The sequence below is a fragment of the Homo sapiens genome, chromosome 3 (assembly GCF_000001405.40).
Source record: "Homo sapiens chromosome 3, GRCh38.p14 Primary Assembly".
In the NCBI taxonomy this organism is placed as follows: Eukaryota; Metazoa; Chordata; class Mammalia; order Primates; family Hominidae; genus Homo; species Homo sapiens.
Genome location: NC_000003.12, coordinates 20249237 through 20273135, shown reverse-complemented (window position 1 = coordinate 20273135; position 23899 = coordinate 20249237). Strand labels below are relative to the sequence as shown.

General features: G+C 40.9%; 1 pseudogene, besides 1 other annotated feature; it reads left to right on the top strand.

Moving 5' to 3' along the window:
* Positions 1265-1766: an enhancer, noted in NCBI's record as "NANOG hESC enhancer chr3:20312862-20313363 (GRCh37/hg19 assembly coordinates)". NCBI's record gives its function as "activates a minimal SCP1, AML or CMV promoter by ChIP-STARR-seq in naive H9 embryonic stem cells {active_cell/tissue: H9 hESC(naive)}" and the evidence as "EXISTENCE:reporter gene assay evidence [ECO:0000049][PMID:30033119]".
* On the top strand, positions 4066-4171 carry RNU6-822P (RNA, U6 small nuclear 822, pseudogene; annotated as a pseudogene).

The following is a 23899-nucleotide window of genomic DNA, read 5'->3' as shown; positions in this document are numbered from 1 at the left end:
GTGTGGGACTTTCAGGCATAACAAGAAAGGCATGTGAAAAGAACAAAGTCTCCCAATTACAACTGAGGAGGTGGGAGAAATACCTGGTTACAGGCTGTCCCAGGATTCCTCGGATGGTAATGGACCTTGAGGACAGTCGTCCAGGACGGGAGATTAACACTGAGAAGGCCACACCAGTGTCCAGGAGGAAGTCAATTTCCTGGCCCTCAATGGTTAAATGTACCTGGGGGTCAGTGAGGGTGATGACATGAGCTGGCACTTGCCCTGGGCATCCTCAGTCTTGTTGTTGGATCATCTGGTTGGGGGCTTCTGGCCCACAAAACCTTAGACCTCTGGGGCAGTGTGCCTTCCAGTGATTGCCTCGGCATAGCAGACATGGGCGAGGGGGCAGCTTGTTTCTCATTGGACAATCTTTTTTAAAGTGTCCTTGCACACCACACCGATAACAAGCCCTACCAGGTGATTGGCCTGCTCCATTTTCTGTCCTCTCTGAACCACCAAGGTTTGTTTGTCTAAGGGCCATGACTAAGGCTGTGGCCTTTCCCTAATCTCGCTTTTCCTTTTCAGCCTGTTCCTCTTGTTTCCTATTATAGAATAACGAGGTTGCCAGGTTTAATAATGCCTCCAGATTTTGTTCAGGGCCCAGGGCTCACTTTTGGAGCTTTCTCTTGATATCTGCAGCTGATTGGGTAATAAACTTATCTTTTAGGATCAACTGACCCTCAAGGGAGTCAGGTGACAGGGGAGTATATTTCCTTAAGGCCTCCTGTAGCTGCTTGAGGAAGGCAGAAGGATTTTCTTCCTTTCCCTGAGTTACGGTAGACATCATTGAATAATTCATGGGCTTCATCCTAATTCTCCTTAGTCCTTCTAGAACACAGGTCAACAGATGTTTGCAACTCCAGTCCCCATGATCTGCGTTGAGGTCCCAGTGGGGATCCATACTGGGGACAGCTTGCTGACCGGTAGGGAATTTGTCCCTTTCTTCGACTGTCATTCTATCATTTACTTGACTAACATACCAGGTATCTCCAAACTCTCAGGCTGCAGGTAAAGCCTCATTCTTTTCATTAAAGGCCAGGGTTTGATCTAACAATAGCATGACATATCTCCAAGCGAGATAGAAGGTTTGCTCTAGACACTGTAGAACATCTATGTACCTATCAGGATCATCTGAAAACTTCCACAGGTCTGCCTTGATCTGCTTTAAATCAGAGAGGGAGAAAGGGACATGTACCCAGGTTGGGCCAAATTCCCCTCCCCCTACAGCTTGAAGGGGACATAACCGATAGCCCGGGGGGGGGGGTTGTGGTCCTTTGGATATTTCTTTGCTTGTTTCCTTCTGGGCGGGGGAGATTAGAGGAGGCTTGTCATTAATAGGAAGGGGAGCTACAGGGAAGCTAGGATATGGGGGTAAGCTGAGAGGTCCTCTTGTGGGATGTAAATTGCAAGCTTTGCATAGTTGTGGATTCCCCTTCAATGAAAAGAAAGCTTCAACATAAGGTATTTCACTCCATTTGCCTTTCCTCTTACAGAAAAGGTCAACCTGCAGGATAGTATTGTAATTTATACTTCCTTCAGGTGGCCATTTTTCCCCATCAGAGAGATAATAGTGGGGCCAAGCTATAGTGCAGGGGCCTTTTTTTCAGGGTTTGCAGGTCAAATTGGTCCCAATGGCTTAGGATGCATTTCAAGTGTGAACATGTTGATGCCTGAGTGTCTCCCAGCTGAAAGACAAAACCTCCCACAGTTTTGGTTTGTTTGTTTCTCCCCCTGCCCAAGAACCCGTAACAGTCCCTGGACCCTGCTGATCTGAATAGTTGTGCTCACTGATGCAGTAGCAGAAACACTAGTTTTCTTCCCAGACCACAAGGAGGACCAAGGAATGTCGGATTTAGTGGCCCTTACCGACGCATTCTTGAGAACCTGCACCCTTGCCTGTCCTCCTAGATCACAAAGAGGACCAAGAAAAATCGGATTTAGTGGCCCTTACTGAAGCATTCTCAAAAACCTGTTAGAATCCTAAGCATTCTCTTGTTAGTATTGGGACTTTTCCCCTATCTTATAAAGATGGTATGCCACAAAAATGAAGTGGAGGGCCATACCCTGAGAGAAGGACGGGATCTCCAGAGTTGGAAGAGTGATGCCTTTTGTCATCACTTATATGAATAGGAAGGATAAAATTTCTGAGGCTCCCCATATCCTAGCTTCAGGAATAGCTTTTGTTAGGCCTGCTTGTATGAGGAGGGATCCTAAAATTCCAGATAGTCCCCCTACAACAGGGCTTTGGAGAAAAATTATGTCTTTCTGATTGGTGAGCCCGGGTGCCTAAAGAAGGGAATAGAGTCCTGGAGTTTATACTAGAAATCATTCTTATAGGAGAAACTAGAAAAGCACCAGAGACAGGGAGTGGTTTTTAGAAGTGGGACTAGCCTCAGAGAAGAGAGGCCAGAGGAAGTTTGTCTGACAAGCATTAGGACCCAAGAGGCAAGGGTCAGGATAGATAGGACACATGGGTGAGTCTCGCTTGGGCGACGTAACTTTGAGAGTTCCGCTCATGGCTGCAGGGTCAACCAACAACTTGTCAGGACCCTGGAGCTGAATGGCTTTCCTCTCTGCCGACCCTCGGCTCAGCCCAGAAGTACAGGAAAAGCGGAAGCTGATTCCAAGCAAACCAATGCTCCCAATTCCGAAGAGTCGGGGTTGTTAGAGCACCCTTTCCCAGAAAGCCTGACACCCGTGTCTTTAGTCCAGCAGCTGTGCTACTCATATTTAACTGGCCATCAGGTGCCCGATATTTAGCCACCAAATTCCAAGGAAAAATAGGACAGAATAGCAAGCAAAAGGGGTCTGATGGTACTCACCGCTTGGCTATAGGTGACAGTCCCTTCGTGGTTGCCAAAATGTGTCCAGAATTGGCTCCTTCCAGTGGTTTCTTGGCCTCGCTGACTTCAAGATTGAAGCCGCGGACTCTCGTGGTGAGTGTTACAGTTCTTAAAGATGGTGTGTCCGGAGTTTGTTCCTTCAAATGTTCAGATCTGTCCAGAGGTTCTTCCTTCTGGTGGGTTCATGGTTTCGCTGACTTCAGGAGTGAAGCCACAGACCTTCGCAGTTAATGTTACAGCTCTTAAAGGTGGCACGTCCAGAGTTGTTTGTTCCTCCCAGTAGGTTCGTGGTCTTGCTGACTTCAGGAGTGAAGCCGCAGACCTTCACAGTGAGCTCTTAAAGCTGGTGCGTCCAGAGTTGTTTGTTCCTCCCGGTGGGTTCGTGGTCTCACTGACTTCAGGAGTGAAGCCGCAGACCTTCGCAGTGAGTGTTACAGCTGTTAAAGGTAGTGCGGACGCAGAGTGAGCAGCAGCAAGATTTATTGTGAAGAGCGAAACAACAAAGCTTCCACAGCATGGAATGGGACCTGAGCAGGTTGCCGCTGCTGGCTCAGGGGGCCAGCTTTTATTCCCTTATTTGGTCCCGCCCACATCCTGCTGATTGGTCCATTTTACAGAGCCCTGATTGGTCCATACTACAGACTGCTGATTGGTCCATTTTACAGACTGCTGACTGGTGCATTTTACAGAGTGCTGTTGGTGCGTTTACAATCCTTTAGCTAGACACAGAGTGCTGGTTGGTGCATTTACAATCCTTTAGCTAGACACAAAAGTTCTCCAAGTCCCCACCCAACCCAGAAGCCCAGCCGGCTTCACCTTTCAAAAGGAATAGAACAATTGTGTTGATAAACATAGCACTTTTCCATTCTTATCTTCCTAGACCTTTCTGATGCATTTGACATCCCTGATATCTCCATCACAGTTGAAATGTTGTATTTTCCTGGAGTTATCTCTCACTTGGTTAGCTACTCTTTCCCAATCTGCAGGAAAAAGACTTCTTTAAAGGCCTGAACCTTAAACGTTGTTATTCTCCAGGGTTCCATTTTCAACTCTTTCTTTCTCCACCACACATTCTTCCCGATCATGTCATTTATATATATGTGGCTTCAGCTATCATTTACATACTGATAATATCACAAAGTTATATGTTGGATCCTCTATGATAAGAAGAACAAATAAGGTGCTCGCTCAGCAGCACATATACTAAAATTGTAACAATACAGAGAAGATTACCACGGCCCCTGCACAAGGAAGATACACAAATTCATGAAGTGTTCCATATTTTAAGTGTTTAGAGGGAAATTCATAGCACTATATGCCCACAGCAGAAAGCAGGAAAGATCTTAAATTGACACCCTAACATCACAATTAAAAGAACTAGAGAAGCAAGAGCAAACAAATTCAAAAGCTAGCAGAAGACACGAAATAAGATCAGAGCAGAACTGAAGGAGATAGAGACATAAAAAACCCTTCAAAAAATCAATAACTGGTTTTGTGAAAAGATCAACAAAATACAAAGACCACTAGCCAGACTAATAAAGAAAAGATAGAAGAAAAAAATAAACACAATAAAAAATGATAAAGGGGATATCACCACTGATCCCACAGAAATACAAGCTACCATCAGAGAATACTATAAACACCTCTCCACAAACAAACTAGAAAATCTAGAGGAAATGGATAAATTCCTGGACAAATACACCTTCCCAAGATTAAGCCAGGAAGAAGTTGAATCCCTGAATAGACCAATAACAAGTTCTGAAATTGAAGCAGTAATAGCCCACCAACCAAAAAAAGCCCAGGACCAGATGGATTCACAGCCAAATTCTACCACAGGTACAAAGAGGATCTTTCCTTCTAAAACTATTCAAGGACTCCTCCCTAACTCATTTTATGAGGCCAGCATCAGCCTGATACCAAAACCTGGCAGAGACACAACAAAAAGGAAAGTTTCAGGCCAACATCCCTGATGAACATTGATGCGAAAATCCTCCACAAAATACTGGCAGAGTGAATCCAGCAGCACATCAAAAACCTTATCCACCCTGATCAAGTTGGCTTCATCCCTGGGATGCAAGACTGGTTCATCATGTGCAAATCAATAAATGTAATCCATCACATAAACAGAACCAATGACAAAAACCACATTATTATCTCAATAGATACAGAAAAGGCCTTTGATAAAACTCAATACCCTTCATGATAAAAATTCTCATTAAACTAGGCATTGATGGAATGTATCTCAAAATATTAAGAGCTATTTAAGACAAACCTACAGCCAATATCATACTGAATGGGCAAAAGCTAGAAGCATTCCCTTTGAAAACCGGTGCAAGAAAAGGATGCCCTCTCTCTCCGCTCCTATTCAACATAGTATTGGAAGTTCTGGCCAGGGCAATCAGGCAAGAAAAAGAAATACAGCATATTCAAATAGCAAGAGAGGAAGTCAAATTGTCTCTGTTTGCAGGTGACATGATTGTATATTAGAAAATCCTATTGTCTAAGCCCAAAATCTCCTTAAGTTGATAAGCAACTTCAGCAAAGTCTCAGGATAAAAAATCAACGTGCAAAAATCACATGCATTCCTATACACCAATAACAGACAAACAGAGAGCCAAATCATGAGTGAGCTCCAATTCACAATTGCTACAAAGAGAATAAAATACCTAGGAATACAACTTACAAAGGATGTGAAGGACCTCTTCAAGGAGAACAACAAACCACTGCTCAAGGAAATCAGAGAGGACACAAACAAATGGAAAAACATTCCATGCTCATGGATAGGAAGAATCAATATTGTGAAAATGCCCATATTGCCCAAAGTAATGTATAGATTCAGCGCTATCCCCATCAAGCTACAACTAACTCTCTTCACAGAATTAGAAAAAAACTACTTTAAATTTCATATGAAACAAAAACTGAGCCCATATAGCCAAGACAATCCTAAGCAAAAAGAACAAAGCTGGCGGTATCACGCTACCTGACTTCAAACTATACTACAAGGCTACAGTAACTAAAACAGCATGGTAAAGGTACCAAAACAGATATATAGACCAATGGAACAGAACAGAGGCCCCAGAAATAACACCACACATCTACAACCATCTGATCTTTGACAAACCTGACAAAAACAAGCAATGGGGAAAGGATTTCCTGTTTAATAAGTGGTGTTGGGAAACTGGCTAGCCATATACAGAAAACTGAAACTAGACCCCTTCCTTACACCTTATACAAAAATTAACTTAAGATGGATTAAATATTTAAATGTAATGCCTAAAACCATAAAAATCCTAGAAGACAACCTAGGCAATACCATTCAGGACATAAGCATGGGTAAAGACTTCATGAGTAAAACACCAAAAGCAATGGCAACAAAACCCAAACTAGGCAAATGAGATATAACTAAACTAAAGAGCTTCTGCACAACAAAAGAAACTACCACCAGAGAGAAGAGGCAACCTACACAATGAGAGAAAATTTTTACAATCTATCCATCTGACAAAGGGCTAATGTCCAGAATCTACAAAGAACATAAACAAATTAACAAGAAAAACAAACAACCCCATGAAAAAGTGGGCAAAGGATTTAAACAGACACTTCTCAAAAGAAGACAGTTATGTGGCCAACAAACATGAGAAAAAGCTCATCATGACTCGTCATTAGAGAAATGCAAATCAAAAGCACAATGAGATACCATCTCACGCTAGTTAGAATGGCAATCATTAAAAAGTCAGGAAACGACAGATGCTGGAGAGGATATGGAAAAATAGAAACGTTTTTACACTATTGGTGGGAGCGTAAATTACTTAAACCATTGTGGAAGACAGTGTGGCAATTCCTCAAGGACCTAGAACTAGAAATACCATTTGACCCAGCAATCCCATTACTGGGTATATACCCAAAGGATTATAAATCATTCTACTATAAAGATGCATGCACACGTATGTTTCTCGACACACTATTCACAATATCAAATACTTGGAACCAACCCAAATGCCCACCAATGATAGACTGGATTAAGAAAATGTGGCACATACACACTACGGAATACTATGCAGCCATTAAAAAGGATGAGTTCATGTCCTTTGCAGGGACATTGATGAAGCTGGAAACCATCATTCTCAGCAAACTAACACAGGAACAGAAAACCAAACACCAGGTTTCTCACTCCTAAGTGGGAGTTGAACAATGAGAACATGTGGACTCGGAAAGGAACATCACACACTGGGGCCTGTCCAGGGGTGGGGGCTTAGGGGAGGGATAGCATCAGGAGAAATACCTAATGTAGATGATGGTTCATGGGTGCAGCAAACCACCATGACACATGTATACCTGTGTAACAAATCTGCACATTCTGCACATGTATCCCAGAACTTAAAGTATAATAATAAAAAAAGAAGAACAAATTAGGTAAATCATACACATCAACTAGGAGAAAAATAGTGATTCTATGATAACAAGGAAGCATAAACAATGACTCTGTTTAATAGATAAGTGAATGGCTACAACCTCACCTAATCTCTAAGTGGAAGTGGAAAAATATTTTAATCTTCCAATACCTGCCCACCTCTATCTGGTGGAATCCGAACAGTTTTTGTGATTCAAATTGAACTAGGTCCTTATTAAAATACTCTAAAGCAATGTCTGGAAACTTCATATTTTTTCATAGCCTTTTGATCAACAATCTCACTTTTAGAATTCTATCATAAGATACAGAGAAGTGGTCAATAATCATCAGACTGATGCAGGATATTTTCTTGACCCCTTCATGGGACTTGCAACAGGGGTGCCTCATTTACTCAGGCTCCCTCGCAGGAGGGACCATGTAAGCGAATGAGTGCAGGAACTGGCCAGCCACTTTGGTGTTGGTAGGAGCAAACTCCACTCACTTGGGTCTGCTGTGCTCCACCCCTTGCAGGAAGAAGCACACACGTGAGCGAGTGCAGGACCCAGCTGCTTTAGCAACGGAGCGAACTCCATGGAGTTCCCACAGCAGCATCTATGTGGGGGTGCCTGCGACCCCAAAGCCCCAGAGGGCATGTTACAATGCTCTCCTAGCTCAGCTGTCTGCAGACAACAGTGTGTTATCAGTTCAGTGAGCCCTTTCCTTTGTTGTGTGAGGCGGCTGCCCTCTGGCAGTAAGGGCAAAGGGCCAGCAGGTACCCATACCTGGTGTGTCCTGAATTCTTGTCCAGTGCCAAAGAGGAATGAAGTCACGCGGATGAATTGAAAGACGGTGAATGTGGAGAATTTTGAGTGAGTAAAGCAGCTGTCAGTGGAGAGGAGAGCTGGAAAGGAGACAGAAAGGAAAGGTTGCTCTCCCCTAAAGTCAAGCTGCCTCTCTGCCTTTCTCTTCTGAAGTCAAGTTGCCTCATCCAGCCACCATCTCTGAAGCCAAAGTCACCTCTCCCCAACGTCTAGCTGCTTCTCCCCAACATCCAGCCACTTCTCCTCTCTGCCTGCTGCGTTTGGGGTCTTTATAGGCACAGGATGTGGGTGGGGCAGGACATAGGAATTTTTGGAAAAGGCAACATTCCATTGGTAAAAAAAAAAAAATATTATTCAGAAAGAACAAATCAGGAGACAGCAGGCACACAGGAATGGAAGTTCTCACTTTGGGCCACAGGTTTCAGACTTTTTGGCTCGAAGGTAGGGTCTTGCCAGGGACCTGCCCCTGTCTGACTAGAATTTATCTGCCTCCTGTTGCTATCAAAACTAGGATGTTTATCAGAAAATTATAAACTGCCTAAATACGGCCATGACTATACAACAGAATATTCTGCAGACATTTAAAATTCATGTCAGAGGAAAATTTATACATAAAAAGGAAGGAACAAAAGGATCTATCCTCAGAATAAAAATTTTCCATTCCTGAATCTATACAAAAGATAATTACACACACACACATACACACAAATCCAAAAATTATTTTTGCAACACTAACATGAATATAGAATCTTCCAAGGTGATTATTCTGAAAATAACATTTCCATGTAAGATCTTAAGATATATAGTGATGGCCAGTATAATAAATAGTTGAAAGATTGTTTAAATGAAATTGTTCTAAGATTTGGGAATTTTCCACTAAAATTAGAGCCATATAGATTGTGGGAGCTTTTGAGAAATTATGAGCCATCACAGAGATTCAGGATAAACTTAGCTTGAGGAAGGTCAAGATGCACAGTTCTTTCCCTGGTTAACTTTAGCATCATTAAACATATAAAAAGAATGAGAGAATTCAAATTCCTTTCACCTTTAGACACTGTTATAGCAATATCTCATTTAAAGGCTTTCTTACAGCATCTTCACTGCATTCAAATGATTTTGTATATTGAAGAGAGGAGAATAACAAAGTAAAAGTATACTAGGAAATGTATTTGACTCTGCAATATTCAGCAATACAATTGTACAGAAACATCCACTGCATGTTTTTAATTCTGCCCATAACTTGCCTGCTCACAGATATCCCTGGAACTCTGTGACAACAATTTGTCAATTGTCACATTTCTAGAATTCTGTTCATTGCTGCTGCAGTGTCATACACTTAAATAAAGCCTGATTTATATTTTTCTTGTTTTGACCACAGTTGAATAATACTTCAAATAAGCATATTATAAAGCCCTTCATAGAGGAAATTTTTAAAAAATAACATTTGGTCTTTACCTGAAATTGCAATCAATCACACCTTTAAAAATGCATCTTCACAGCCGAATTCTACCAGAGGTACAAGGAGGAACTGGTACCATTCCTTCTGAAACTATTCCAATCAATAGAAAAAGAAGGAATCCTCCCTAACTCATTTTATGAGGCCAGCATCATCCTGATACCAAAGCCAGGCAGAGACACAACCAAAAAAGAGAATTTTAGACCAATATCCTTGATGAATGTTGATGTAAAAATCCTCAATAAAATACTGGCAAACCGAATCCAGCAGTACATCAAAAAGCTTATCCACCATGATCAAGTGGGCTTCATCCCTGGGATGCAAGGCTGGTTCAATATACGCAAATCAATAAATGTAACCCAGCATATAAACAGAACCAATGACAAAAACCACATGTTATCTCAATAGATGCAGAAAAGGCCTTTGACAAAATTCAACAACCCTTCATGCTAAAAACTCTCAATAAATTAGGTATTGATGGGACGTATCTCAAAATAATAAGAGCTATTTATGACAAACCCACAGCCAATATCATACTGAATGGGCAAAAACTGGAAGCATTCCCTTTGAAAACTGGAACAAGACAGGGATGCCCTCTCTCACCACTCCTATTCAACATAGTGTTGGAAGTTCTGGCCAGGGCAATTAGGCAGGAGAAGGAAATAAAGGGTATTCAATCAGGAAAAGAGGAAGTCAAATTGTCCCTGTTTGCAGATGACATGATTGTATATCTAGAAAACCCCATTGTCTCAGCCCAAAATCTCGTTAAGCTGATAAGCAACTTCAGCAAAGTCTCAGGATACAAAATCAATGTACAAAAATCACAAGCATTCTTATACACCAATAACAGACAAACAGAGAGCCAAATCATGAGTGAACTCCCATTCACAATTGCTTCAAAGAGAATAAAATACTTAGGAATCCACCTTACAAGGGACGTGAAGCACCTCCTCAAGGAGAACTACAAACCACTGCTCAATAAAATAAAAGAGGATACAAACAAATGGAAGAACATTCCATGCTCATGGGTAGGAAGAATCAATATCATGAAAATGGCCATACTGCCCAAGGTAATTTATAGATTCAATGCCATCCCCATCAAGCTACCAATGACTTTCTTCACAGAACTGGAAAAAGCTACTTTAAAGTTCATATGGAACCAAAAAAGAGCCCACATCGCCAAGTCAATCCTAAGCCAAAAGAACAAAGCTGGAGGCATCACACTACCTGACTTCAAAGTATACTACAAGGCTACAGTAACCAAAACAGCATGGTACTGGTACCAAACAGAGATATAGATCAATGGAACAGAACAGAGCCCTCAGAAATAACGCTGCATATCTACAACTATCTGATCTTTGACAAACCTGAGAAAAACAAGAAATGGGGAAAGGATTCCCTATTTAATAAATGGTGCTGGGAAAACTGGCTAGCCATATGGAGAAAGCTGAAACTGGATCCCTTCCTTACATCTTATACAAAAATTAATTCAAGATGGATTAAAGACTTAAACGTTAGACCTAAAACCATAAAAACCCTAGAAGAAAACCTAGGCATTACCATTCAGGACATAGGCATGGGCAAGGACTTCATGTCTTAAACACCAAAAGCAATGGCAACAAAAGCCAAAACTGACAAATGGGATCTAATTAAACTGAAGAGCTTCTGCACAGCAAAAGAAACTACCATCAGAGTGAACAGGCAACCTACAGAATGGGAGAAAATTTTCACAACCTACTCATCTGACAAAGGGCTAATATCCAGAATCTACAATGAACTCAAACAAATTTACAAGAAAAAAACAAACAACCCCATCAAAAAGTGGGCAAAGGATATGAACAGACACTTCTCAAAAGAAGACATTTACGCAGCCAAAAGACACATGAAAAAATGCTCATCATCACTGGCCATCAGAGAAATGCAAATCAAAACTACAATGAGATACCATCTCACACCAGTTAGAATGGCAATCATTAAAAAGTCAGGAAACAACAGGTGCTGGAGAGGATGTGGAGAAATAGGAACACTTTTACACTGTTGGTAGGACTGTAAACTAGTTCAACCATTGTGGAAGTCAGTGTGGCGATTCCTAAGGGATCTAGAACTAGAAATACCATTTGACCCAGCCATCCCATTACTGGGTATATACCCAAAGGACTATAAATCATGCTGCTATAAAGACACATGCACACGTATGTTTATTGCGGCACTATTCACAATACCAAAGACTTGGAACCAACCCAAATGTCCAACAATGATAGACTGGATTAAGAAAATGTGGCACATATACACCATGGAATACCATGCAGCCATAAAAAAGGATGAGTTCATGTCCTTTGTAGGGACATGGATGAAATTGGAAATCATCATTCTCAGTAAACTATCGCAAGGAAAAAAACCAAACACCACATGTTCTCACTCATAGATGGGAATTGAACAATGAGAACACATGGACACAGGAAGGGGAACATCACACTCTGGAGACTGTTGTGGGGTAGGGGGAGGGGGGAGGGATAGCATTAGGAGATATACCTAATGCTAAATGATGAGTTAATGGGTGCAGCACACCAGCATGGCACAGGTATACATATGTAACTAACCTGCACATTGTGCACATGTACCCTAAAACTTAAAGTATAATAATAATAATAATTTAAAAATGCCAAAAATAAATAAAATAAAATAAAATATCTTCATGTATAAAAAAATGCATCTATATTTGACTGTAATTTTTATTATTTAAGTGTAATTTTGATGATTTTAGCCTGTTGGACCTTACAGAATTAAAAACATACAAGGCACACAACTTTCCCTGGAAAAATATGCCATCTGTTTTGTTCTATACATCAATTGTCCACTTAAAATATTTAAGCACATATAGATAATTGTTTTTTAAATGATTTTTACATAAAATTATGAAAATAAACTAAAGATAAAAGATCAATGTAAAAGTCACAAAATGCTATATACTTTGCTAGTTAGAATCTATATACAATACCAAAAAATTACCAAATCAAGATTTAAAACAGAAATAACTAGCATGCATTCTGGAGAATTCAATGGAATAAAAACATCAGGGAAGATGGGGGTGTGGGAGAACCTTTTCGGGAATAATTACAACAATTAGGTAACTTTTCTATTATTAGACAATTAGATAACTTTTCTATTATTCAGTGGAGCCAGTGACATTCACAATTAAAATATTTTATCATGATTATTGATCACGTCTATACTCAGAACATAAGCACTGAGTATAAACAGGCATTTTTTTTAAAGAAACAGGTTTGATTACACTGAACTAAACATACAGATTGATATTGTTAACAAAAGCTGTCTGAAAATTATGGCTGAGATGTCTGGAATCTTAATTAAAATTCCAGAAAACCTGGAAAAGCTAAGAAATGAAAGGAAAAAATAAATAATTCTGTTTTCTGGCTAGCTCCCAAATACCAGCTTTCTTCATATGAGAATATGAGAGACACACAAGATATACTAGGTAACATGCTACTGAAACTTGAATAAGTAGTTTGCCTGAGTTCTTAAAGGTAAGGTCCCCCTGTAAGATGTATTTTCTGCTCACTCTATTTGCCCTGGTGGATCCTTTCACCATCCTGCACACACCCTTGGTCACTCTCTTCCTACCACTTAGCAAGAGAAAAAAAAGATCTAGCTGCAAATATATATGGCATACTTACCTCTGTTTCTTAGTTTCCATAGCCTGATTTTTTATTCTAAATTTCTACTTTTCTTTCTGTTTCTGACTTTCTGTAATCAAAGTCTCACTCTTTTATCTTGGAGAGCTGAAATGTCTGCACCATTTGTTGATCATGTCTGAGAACTATTTCTTAATAAATTATACTGAAATGGTTTACATTGATGGATGAATGCCCAGATTTATTTCCCTTGTGATCTATTGATTCTACAGGTTGTGGCATTAAAATTAGGGAAATAGAATCCTAAGACGTCAAAGCCAGATTTTTCACACAATATTTCCAAATAATTGAATATATTTATATTTATATTTAATATTTGTAATGTCTTTAGAGAAAAATGTATACACTGACAACAAAGAAATCATACTGGATTGAAGGGAGATTTCCCCACCATCTTATTTGCAAAACTCTATTACATTACTTCAAAGATAATCTTTCAGTTTTCTTTTTTTTTTCTGTTGGTAATCTACTAACTTAATAGGATCTGCTAGTCATACAATAATTTATACAAACACACTGATACTGGTTCTTAAAAAGTGAAGCTTTGGTTGGGTGTGGTAGCTCACGCCTGTAATCCCAGCACTTTGGGAGGCTGAGGCAGGCGGATCACGAAGTCAAGAGATTGAGACCATCCTGGCTAACAGGGTGAAACCCCATCTCTTCTAAAAATACAAAAATTAGCTGGGTGTGGTGGTGCGTGCCTGTAGTCCCAGCTACTTGGGAGGCTGAGGCAGGAGAATCACTTGAACCCAGGACGCGGAGGTTGCAGTGAGCCAAGATCGCGCCACTGCATTCCAGTCTAGCAACAGAGCAAGACGCAAGACTCTGTCTCAAAAAAAATAAAATAAAATAAAAAAGTGAAGCTTTGAACATTTCTGAAAGATGCCAAGCAACAGTATACACATTAATTCCTAAATTATGAATAGCTTGAGTTTGAAAGTATGCCAACATTCATCCATCCTAATGTGCAGTTTTCTTTTCCCTGGCATGCATGCAAGCACTGCTAAAGAGATGTATGCCTTTAAAGTGGTTTTACCAGCCCACGTGTCAACCAAGAGACAACCTCAGAATGTAATTGTCCACAATTTTACCACTTATTCAATTTAAATTACTAATATCCTTAGGCAAGAGGGCCAATCTACTGAACAAGGTTACCTTGGCTTAGTCAATGAAACTGTGAGGCCAAGAAAACCATGTCAGTCAAGTTCAAGGAATAACATTATAATTTAGTAAACTTTTTGGTGACTGGCAACACATCAACTGACAAGCATTTAATTACAATCTTCCTCCCAGTGGTATAAGGCAGATTCCTTAGGGCTAGGAATTCCTTATACTTGACTATTCACGGCCCATGTTCCCTTGGCTTGTTAACCCTGGGACTCAGAGCTTCCAAACTGTGGAATTATAAACAAACTTACTAGAAGCCTGAGTAACTGCATACCCCAAAATAAATCTAGGTTTGCATAAGGCTGCATATTATTTCATTTATACACCTATTCCCAAATATATTTAACTAATGCTCTATTTACAGATCTTCAGATTGATTCAAATATTTCACTATCATAGACAATGCTATAATGATTGTCTTTGGACCTTACTGTATATTTATCTAATTTTATTTTTGTAATAAAGTCAAGAAGTTGTAAATCTCTTGTTAGAGAATTACAATTACAATTATAAGAATTTGTACATTTTTCTTATTGATATTTAAGAGCTACCTATGTATTAAGGAATTTAAACCTTGTTATATTTTCTAATTTTCCATTTAAGCATTTTCTCATGTAAGCATTATTTAAAGCATAAATAATGCTTCAAAATTTTAGAAAATCATATTTGTTACCAATTGAAATAAAAAATTGCCAGATTAGGGCATTTGGTGGCTGCTCACCGGACCCCCTCCTTGGTGCTGGTCTTTGTGCCTGCCATTGGGTAACTTGCACATGGCCCTGCCTCATTCAGCCTTACCCATCTTGGTGTCCCACTATGGTGCTGAGCAAGGAGCTCACACCACTGTCTACTGAATGGATCAGCCTACTGCCTGAGGCAACAGAGAGCTTCACCTAGTAAACAAGGATGAGGTATATACCCATCCACATTGGCCTCATTTCATTTTTACCCATAAGCACCATCTACTAACCTGTAGGTCAAAAATACAGCCCAATATAAAAACGTGCTGACAGGGGTGCATAGGGCTATAGAAGCAAAGCCAAAAGACTCTACCCAACATTCTCTATAATCACAATCCTTAGGGAGTAGGGGGAAAGGGGGAAAAAAACTCAATAATATGATAAGGAAAGAGAGAAAGAAAAAAAATCCTATCCACACAAAAATAATTACAAAAATTAGAAGTACCAGTGTCTCCAGATGAGAAGGAACCAGAAGAAGAATCCTGGTATGAGAAATCTGAATGTTGCAATATTGACAGAGGATCACACTAGCTCCCCAGCAATGGTCGATAATCAAAATAGAAAGTCAGAAATTACAGACAAAAAATTCAAAGCATGGATTGCAAGGAAGCTAAATGAAATCCAAGATGAAGTTGAAAATTAACACAAAGAAACTTCTTTTTTTTTTGGAGACAAGGTCTCACTACTCTGTCACCCAGGCTGGAGTGCAGTGGCGTGATCTTGGCTCACTGCAGCCTCAACCTACTGGGCCCAAACAATCCTCCCACCTCAGCCTCCCGAATAGCTGAGACCACAGGCATCCACCACCACACCCAGCTAATTTTTGTATTTTTTTTATAGACATGAGGTTTCACCATGTTGCCCAGGCTGGTCTCGAACTTCTGAGGTCAAGCAATCCACCTTGGCCTCCCAAAGTGCTGGGATTACAGGTTTGAGCCACTGAGCCCAGCCAAGACAAAGAAACTTATAAAGCAACCGAGGAAATGAAGGAAGAGATGAACAACATAAAAAGAAATTAATCAGAGCTTCTGACACAGAAAAACTCAAGGAATTTCAAAATACAATGAAAAGCTTTATCAATAGACTAGATCAAGCAGAAAAATGAATTTCAAAACTTGAAGGCTGGTCTTGTGAACTAACCCAGTCAGACAGAACATTTAAAAAGAATTTTTAAAAATGAACAAAGTCTTCAAGAGGTACAGGATTATGTAAAGCAACCAAACCTATGAGTTATTGGCTTTTTCTAGAGAAAAAGAGAAAAGGTAAACAACCTGGAAAACATATTTCAGAGAATAACCAAAGAAAATTTCCCTAATCTTCCTAGAAAGGTAAACATTCACATATAAAAAAATTGAAAGAACACCTGAGAGATACCATACAAAATGAACATCATGAAGGTTTATAGTCATCAGACTATCCAAAGTCAACGCTAAAGAAAAAAATCTTAAAGGCAGCTGAGAAAAAGGTCAGGTCATGTACAAAGGGAACCCTATCAGGCTAATATCAAACTTCCTGGCAGAAACCTTACAAGCCAGAAGAAACAGGAGGCCTATTTACAGCATTCCTAAAGAAAAGAAATTCCAACCAAGAATGTCATATCCTGCCAAACCTAGCTTAATAAGCAAAGGAAAAATAAAATCATTTTTAGACAAGCAGTCATTAAGGGAATTCGCTAGCACTAGACCAACCTTACAAGTACTCTCAAGAGAGTTCTAAATGTGGAAATGAAAGAATAATACCTGTTACCACAAAAACAGACTTAGGTATTATGCATAGCCCAGACTCTACAAAGCAACGACAGGAAAGAAACTACAAAGTAACCACCCAAAAACTTCACAATAGGATCAGAACCTCACACATCAATATCAATCTTGAATGTAAATTGTTGCCATATTTAAAAGGCATTTTAAGTTGGATTAAAAAATAAAAAGGCCCATCTGTCTGCTGTCTTCAAAAGACCCATCTCACATGTAATGACACTCATAGACTCAAAGTAAAGTGTTGAAGATCTATCATGCAAATAGAAAACAAAAAAGAGCAAGGTTTGCTATTCTTATATTAGATAAACAAGACTTTAAACCAACAACAAGGAAAAAAAACAAAGAAGGGCATTAAATTATAATAAAGGGTTCAATTCAACAAGAAGACTTAATTACCCTAAATATATATGCCCCCAATATTGGAGCACTGGGATTTGTAAGACAGGTACTTCTAGACCTATGAAAAGACTTAGACAGCGACACAATATCAGTGGGGGACTTCAACACCCCACTGAAAGCATTAGATCATAAAGGGAGAAAACTAGCAAAAGAATTCTGAACTTAAATTCGACACTGGACCAATGGGACCTAATAGACATCTACAGACTCCTCCACCCATTAACCACAGAATACACATTCTTCTCATCTGCACAAGAAATATCCTCCAAGATTGATCATTATGCTCAGTCACAGAGCCAGTCTCAGAAAATGCAAAAAAAAAAAAGACAAAGAAATCACACCAACCATATTCTCAGCAAAAAGTGGAATAAAAATGGAAATCAATACCAAGAAGATCTCCCAAAATTACACAATTACATGGAAATTAAAGAAACTGCTCCTGAATGACTTTTGTGTAAACAACAAAATTAAGGCAGAAATAAAAAAAATGAAAACACAGACATAACATACCAAAATCTATGGGATGCAGGAAAAGCAGTGTTAAGAGGAAAGTTTATAGTGCTCAAGGAAGTTAGGAAGATCTTTGTTAAATGCTCTAACATCACACCTACAAGAACTAAAAAACAACGACAACAACAACAACAATAAAAACCCCAGGAACAAAGTGGCTGGCAAGATGGCCAAATAGAAAACAGCTCCAGTCTGCAGCTCCCAGTGAGATCAACGCAGAAGGCAGTGACTTCTGCATTTCCAACTGAGGTACCCAGTTCATCTCACTGGGACTGGTTGGACAGTGGGTGCAGCCCAAGGAGGGCGAGCCAAAGCAGGGTGGGGCATCGCCTCACCTGGGAAGCCTCACGGCGTCGGGGAATTCCCTCTCCCAGCCAAAGGAAGCCATTAGGGACTGTACTGTGCACTCTGGCCCAGATACTGCAATTTTCCCATGGTCTTCGAAACCCATAGACCAGGAGATTCCCTCTGATGCCTATGCCACCAGGGCCATGGGTGTCCAGCACAAAACTGAGCAGCCATTTGTGCAGACACCCAGCTAGCCACAGGAGTTTTTTTTTCATACCCCAGTGGCGCCTGGAATGCCAGTGAGACAGAACCGTTCACTCCCCTGGAGAGGGGGCTGGAACCAGGGAGCCAAGTAGTTCTGGCTTGGTGGGTACCACCCCCACAGAGCCCAGCAAGCTAAGATCGACTGGCTTGAAATTCTCACTACAAACACAGCAGTCTGAGCTTGACCTGGAACGCTAGAGCTTGGTGGGGGGAGAAGCGTCCGCCATTGCTGAGGCTTAAGTAGGCAGTTTTACCCTCACAATGTAAACAGAGTACCCGGGAAGTTCAAACTGGGCGGAGTCCTCCTCAGCTCAGCAAGGTGCTGAGGCCAGACTGCCTCTCTAAATTCCTTCTTGTCAGGGCACGACATCTCTGAAAAAAAACGCAGCAGCCCCAGTCACGGATTTATAGATAAAATCCCCACCTCCATGGGACAGAGCACCTGGAGGAAGGGGCAGTTGTGGGCACAGTTTCAGCAGACTTAAACATCCCTGCCTGGCAGCTCTGAAAAGAGCAGCATATCTCCCAGCACAGCATTTGAGCTCTGCTAAGGGTCAGACTGCCTCTGCAGGTGGGTCCCTGACCCCCATGTATCCTGATTGGGAGAGACATCTCCCAGTAGGGGCTGACAGACATCTCATACAGGAGAGCTCTGGCTGGCATCTGGTGGGTGCCCCTCTGGGACAAAGCTTCCAGAGGAAGGAGCAGCCGGAAATCTTTACTGTTCTGCAGCCTCGGCTGGTGATACCCAGGCAAACAGGGTCTACAGTGGACCTCCAGCAAACTCCAGCAGACCTATAGCAGAGAGACCTGTTAGAAGGAAAACTAACAAGCAGAAAGGAATAGTATCAACATCAGCATAAAGAACATTCACTCAGAGACCCCATCCAAAGGTCTCCGACTTCAAAGACCAAAGGTAGATAAATCCATAAAGATGAAGAGAAACCAGCACAAAAAGGCTGAAAATTCCAAAAACCAGAACGCCTCTTCTCTTCCAAAGGATCACAACTCCTCGCCAGCAAGGGAATAAAACAGGACAGAAAATGAGTTTGATGAATTGACAGAAGTAGGCTTCAGAAGGTGGATAATAACAAACTCCTCCAAGCTAAAGGAGCATGTTCTAACCCAAAGCAAGGAAGCTAAGAACCTTGAAAAAAGATTAGAGGAACTGCTAACTAGAATAACGAGTTTAGAGAAGAACATAAATGACCTGATGGAGCTGAAAAGCACAGCATGAGAACTTCGTGAAGCATACATAAGTATCAGAGCCGAATCGATCAAGTGGAAGAAAGGATATCACAGATTGAAGATCTACTTCATGAAATAAAGCATGAAGACAAGATTAGGAAAAGAAGAAATGAAAAGGAATGAAGAAAGCCTCCAAGAAATATGGGACTCTGTGAAAAGATAAAACCTGCATTTGATCGGTGTACCTGAAAGTGACTGGGAGAATGGAACCAAGTTAGTTCCATTCTCTTCAGGATATTATCCAGGAGAACTTCCCCACCCTAGCAAGACAGGCCAACATTCAAATTTAGGAAATAAAGAAAACACTACAAAGATACTCTTCAAGAAGAGCAACCCCAAGACACATAATCATCAGATTCACCAAGGTGGAAACGAAGGAAAAATTGTTAAGGACAGCCAGAGAGAAAGGTCAGGTTACCCACAAAGGGAAGCCCATCAGACTAACAGCAGATGGCTCTGTAGAAACCCTACAAGCTAGAAGAGAATCGGGGCCAATATTCGACATTCTTAAACAAAAGAATTTTCAAACCAGAATCTCATACCCAGTCAAATTAAGCTTCATAAGTGAAGGAGAAATAAAATCCTTTACAGACAAGCAAATGCTGAGAGATTTTGTCACCACCAAGCCTGCCTTACAAGAGCTCCTGAAGGAAGCACTAAACATGGAAAGGAACAACTGGTATAAGCCACTGCAAAAACATACCAAATTGTAAACACCATCGATGCTATGAAGAAACTGCATCAACGAATGGGCAAAATAACCAGCTTACATCATAATGGCAGGATCAAATTCACACATAACAATATTAACCTTAAATGTAAACAGGCTAAATGCCCCAATTAAAAGACACAGACTGGCAAATTGGATAAAAAGTCAAGACCCATCAATGTGCTGTATTCAGGAGACCCATCTCACATGCAAAGAAACACAAAGGTTAAAATAAAGGGATGGAGAAAGATCTACCAAGCAAATGGAAAGCAAAAAAAAAAAAAAAAAAAAAAAAAAAAGCAGGGGTTGCAATTCTAGTCTCTGATAAAACAGACTTTAAACCAACAAAGATCAAAAAAGACAAAGAAGGGCATTACATAATGGTAAAGGGATCAATTCAACAAGAAGAGCTAACTACCCTAAATATATATGCACCCAATATAGGAGCACCCAGATTCATAAAGAAAGTTCTTAGAGACCTACAAAGAGACTTAGAGTCCCACACAATAATAGTGGGAGACTTTAACACCCCAATGTCAATATTAGACAGATCAACGAGACAGAAAATTAACAAGGATATCCAGATTAAGAACAAAATCCCATTTACAATGGCCACAAAAATTAAAATACCTTTTAAAATATCTTTATTTTAGAATCCTTGTAGAGGTGAAAGATCTCTACAAGGAGAACTGTAAAACACTGCTGAAAGAAATCAGAGATGATACAAACAAGTGGAAAAGCATTTCATGTTCATAGATTGGAAGAATCAATATTATTAAAATGGTGATATGGTTTGGTCGTGTGTTCCCTCCATATGTCATGTTGAAATGTGATCCCCAGTGTTGAAGGTGGGGCCTAATGGGAGGTATTGGATCATGGGAGCTGATCCCTCATGAATGGCTTAGTGCCATCCTCTTGGTGGTGAGTGAGTTCTCATTCTGCTAGTTCACATGAGATCTACTTATTTAAAAGAATGTGGCACCTCCCCCCCTCACTCTCTTGCTCCTACTCTTACCATGTAATGCACAAGGTCTCCTTTCACCTTCTACCATGGTGGTAAGCTTCCTGGGGCCCTCACCAGAAGGAGATACTGACACCACACTTCCTGTACAGCAATCAGAACTGTGAGCCAATTAAACCTCCCTTGTTTATAATCCAGTCTCAGGTATTCCTTTGTAGCAAGGCAAAATTGGACTAACACAGAAAATTAGTAACAAGGAGTGGGATATTGCTATGAACATACCCAAAGATGTGGAAGCAGTTTCGGACTGGGTAATGGGCTGAGGTTGGAAACATTTGAAGATCTCAGAAGAAGACAGGAAGATGAGGGAAAGTTTGGAACTTCTTAGCAACTTGTTAAGTGGTTGTGACCAAATGCTGATAGAGATATGGACCATAAAGTCCAGGTTGTTGAGGTCTCAGATGGAAATAAGAAACCTTTTGGGAACTGGAACAAACGTCACCCATGTTACACCCTAGCAAAGAACTTGGCTGCATTGTGTCCATGCCCTGGGAATCCATGGAAGTTTGAACTTAAGATTGATGAGCTAGGGTATCTGGCAGAAGACATCTCTAAGCAGCGAAGCATTCAAAAGATGACTTGGTTGCTTCTAACAGCCTAAATTAGATATAAGGACAAATAAGAGACTTAAAGTTGGAACTAATATTTAAAAGGGAAGCAGAATGTAAACATTTGGAAAACTTGCAGCCTGGTCCTGTGGTAAAGAAAGAATCCAAGCAGGCTGCATTGAAACCACTTGCTAAAGAGATTAGCATGACTAAAAGGGAGTCCAGTGCTAGTATCCAAGACAATGGGAAAAAGGCCTCAAAGGCATTTCAGAGATCTTAGAGACAGCCTCTCTCATCACAGGCCCAGAGGCCTGGAAAGAAAGAATAATTTGGGGAGCCAGGTCCATGGCCCCATTGCCCTGCACAGCTTCAGGACATTGCTTCCTGCATCCCAGCCTCTCCTGCTCCAGTCACAGCACAAAGCGGCCCAGGTACAGCTCTGGCCACCACTCCAAAGGGCACAAGTGGTAAGGCTTGGTGGCATCCAGATGGTGTTAAAGCCTGCAGGAACACAGAATGCAAGAGTGAAGAAGACTTGGCAGCTTCCCCCTATATTTCAGAGGATGTATCATAGGGGCAAAGCCCACATAGAGAAATTCTATAAGGGCAATGACAAGGGGAAATGTGGGGTTGGAGTCCCATTGCAGACTCCCCACTGGAGCACTGTGTAGTGGAGCTGTGGGAATGGGGCCGCTGTCCTCTACAGCTGTGAATAGTCGATCCACCAGCAGCTTGTGCCCTGTACCAGAAACACCACTGGCACCCAACTCCAACCGGTGTAACCAGCCATGGGGGCTGAATGCTGCAAAGCCACAGGGGTGGAGCTGCTGAAGGCCTTGAGACCTCACCCCTTGCACCAGTGTGCCATGGATGTGGAACACAGAGTCAAGGATTATTTGGGAGTTTTAAGATTTAATGCCTGCCTGCTGGGTTTCAGACTTCCATGAGGCCTGTAGCCTCTTTCTTTTGGCTGATTTCTCCCTTTTTGAACAGGAATGTTTACCCAATATGTGTACTAACATTGTATCTTGAAAGTTAAATAACTTGTTTTTTATTTTACAGCCTCATAGGTGGAAATAACTTGAGTCCCATATGAGACTTTGAACTTGATGTTGGAACAAGTTAAGATTTTGGAGGATTATTAAGAAGGGATGACTGGGCCAGGCGCAGTGGCTCATGTCTGTAATCCCAGCACTTTGGGACGCCGAGGCAAGTGGATCACCTGAGGTCAGGAGTTCGAGACCAGCCTGGACAACATGGTGAAACCTCATCTCTACAAAAATACAAAAATTAGCTAGGGGTGATGGTGGGCACCTGTAATCCCAGCTACTTGGGAGGCTGAGGCAGGAGAATCGCTTGAACCCAGGAGGCGGAAGTTGTGGTGAGCTGAGATCGTGCCACTGCACTCCAGCCTGGGTGACAGAGCAAGACTCCGTTACAAAAAAAAAAAAAAAAAAAAAAAAAGGACGATTTTATTTTGCATTGTGAGAAGAACATGACATTTATTTCATGGCCAGAGTGAAAAGATATGATTTGGATGTCTGTCCCTTCCAAATCTAATTATGTTGAAATGTGATCCCCAATGTTGCAGGTGGGGCCTAGCAAGAGGTGTTTGGGTCATGGAGGTGAATCCCTCAAGATTGGCTTAGCACCATCCCCTTGGTTATAAGTGAGTTCTCACTCTGGTAGTTCATGTGAGACCTGGTTGTTTAAGAGTGTGGCACCTCCCCCCAACCTCTTGCTCTGCTCTTACTATGTGACTACATTGCTCCCCATTTACCTTTTGCCATAATTGTAAGCTTCCTGAGGCCCTCATCAAAAGCAAATATTGGTACCATGCTTCTTGTACAGCATGCAGAACCATGAGCCAAGTAAACCTCTTTTCTTTATAAATTACTCAGTCTCAGGTATTCCTGTATAGTAATGCAAAAACAGATTTACACAAACAGCCATACTGCCCAAAGCAATCTATAGATTCGACAC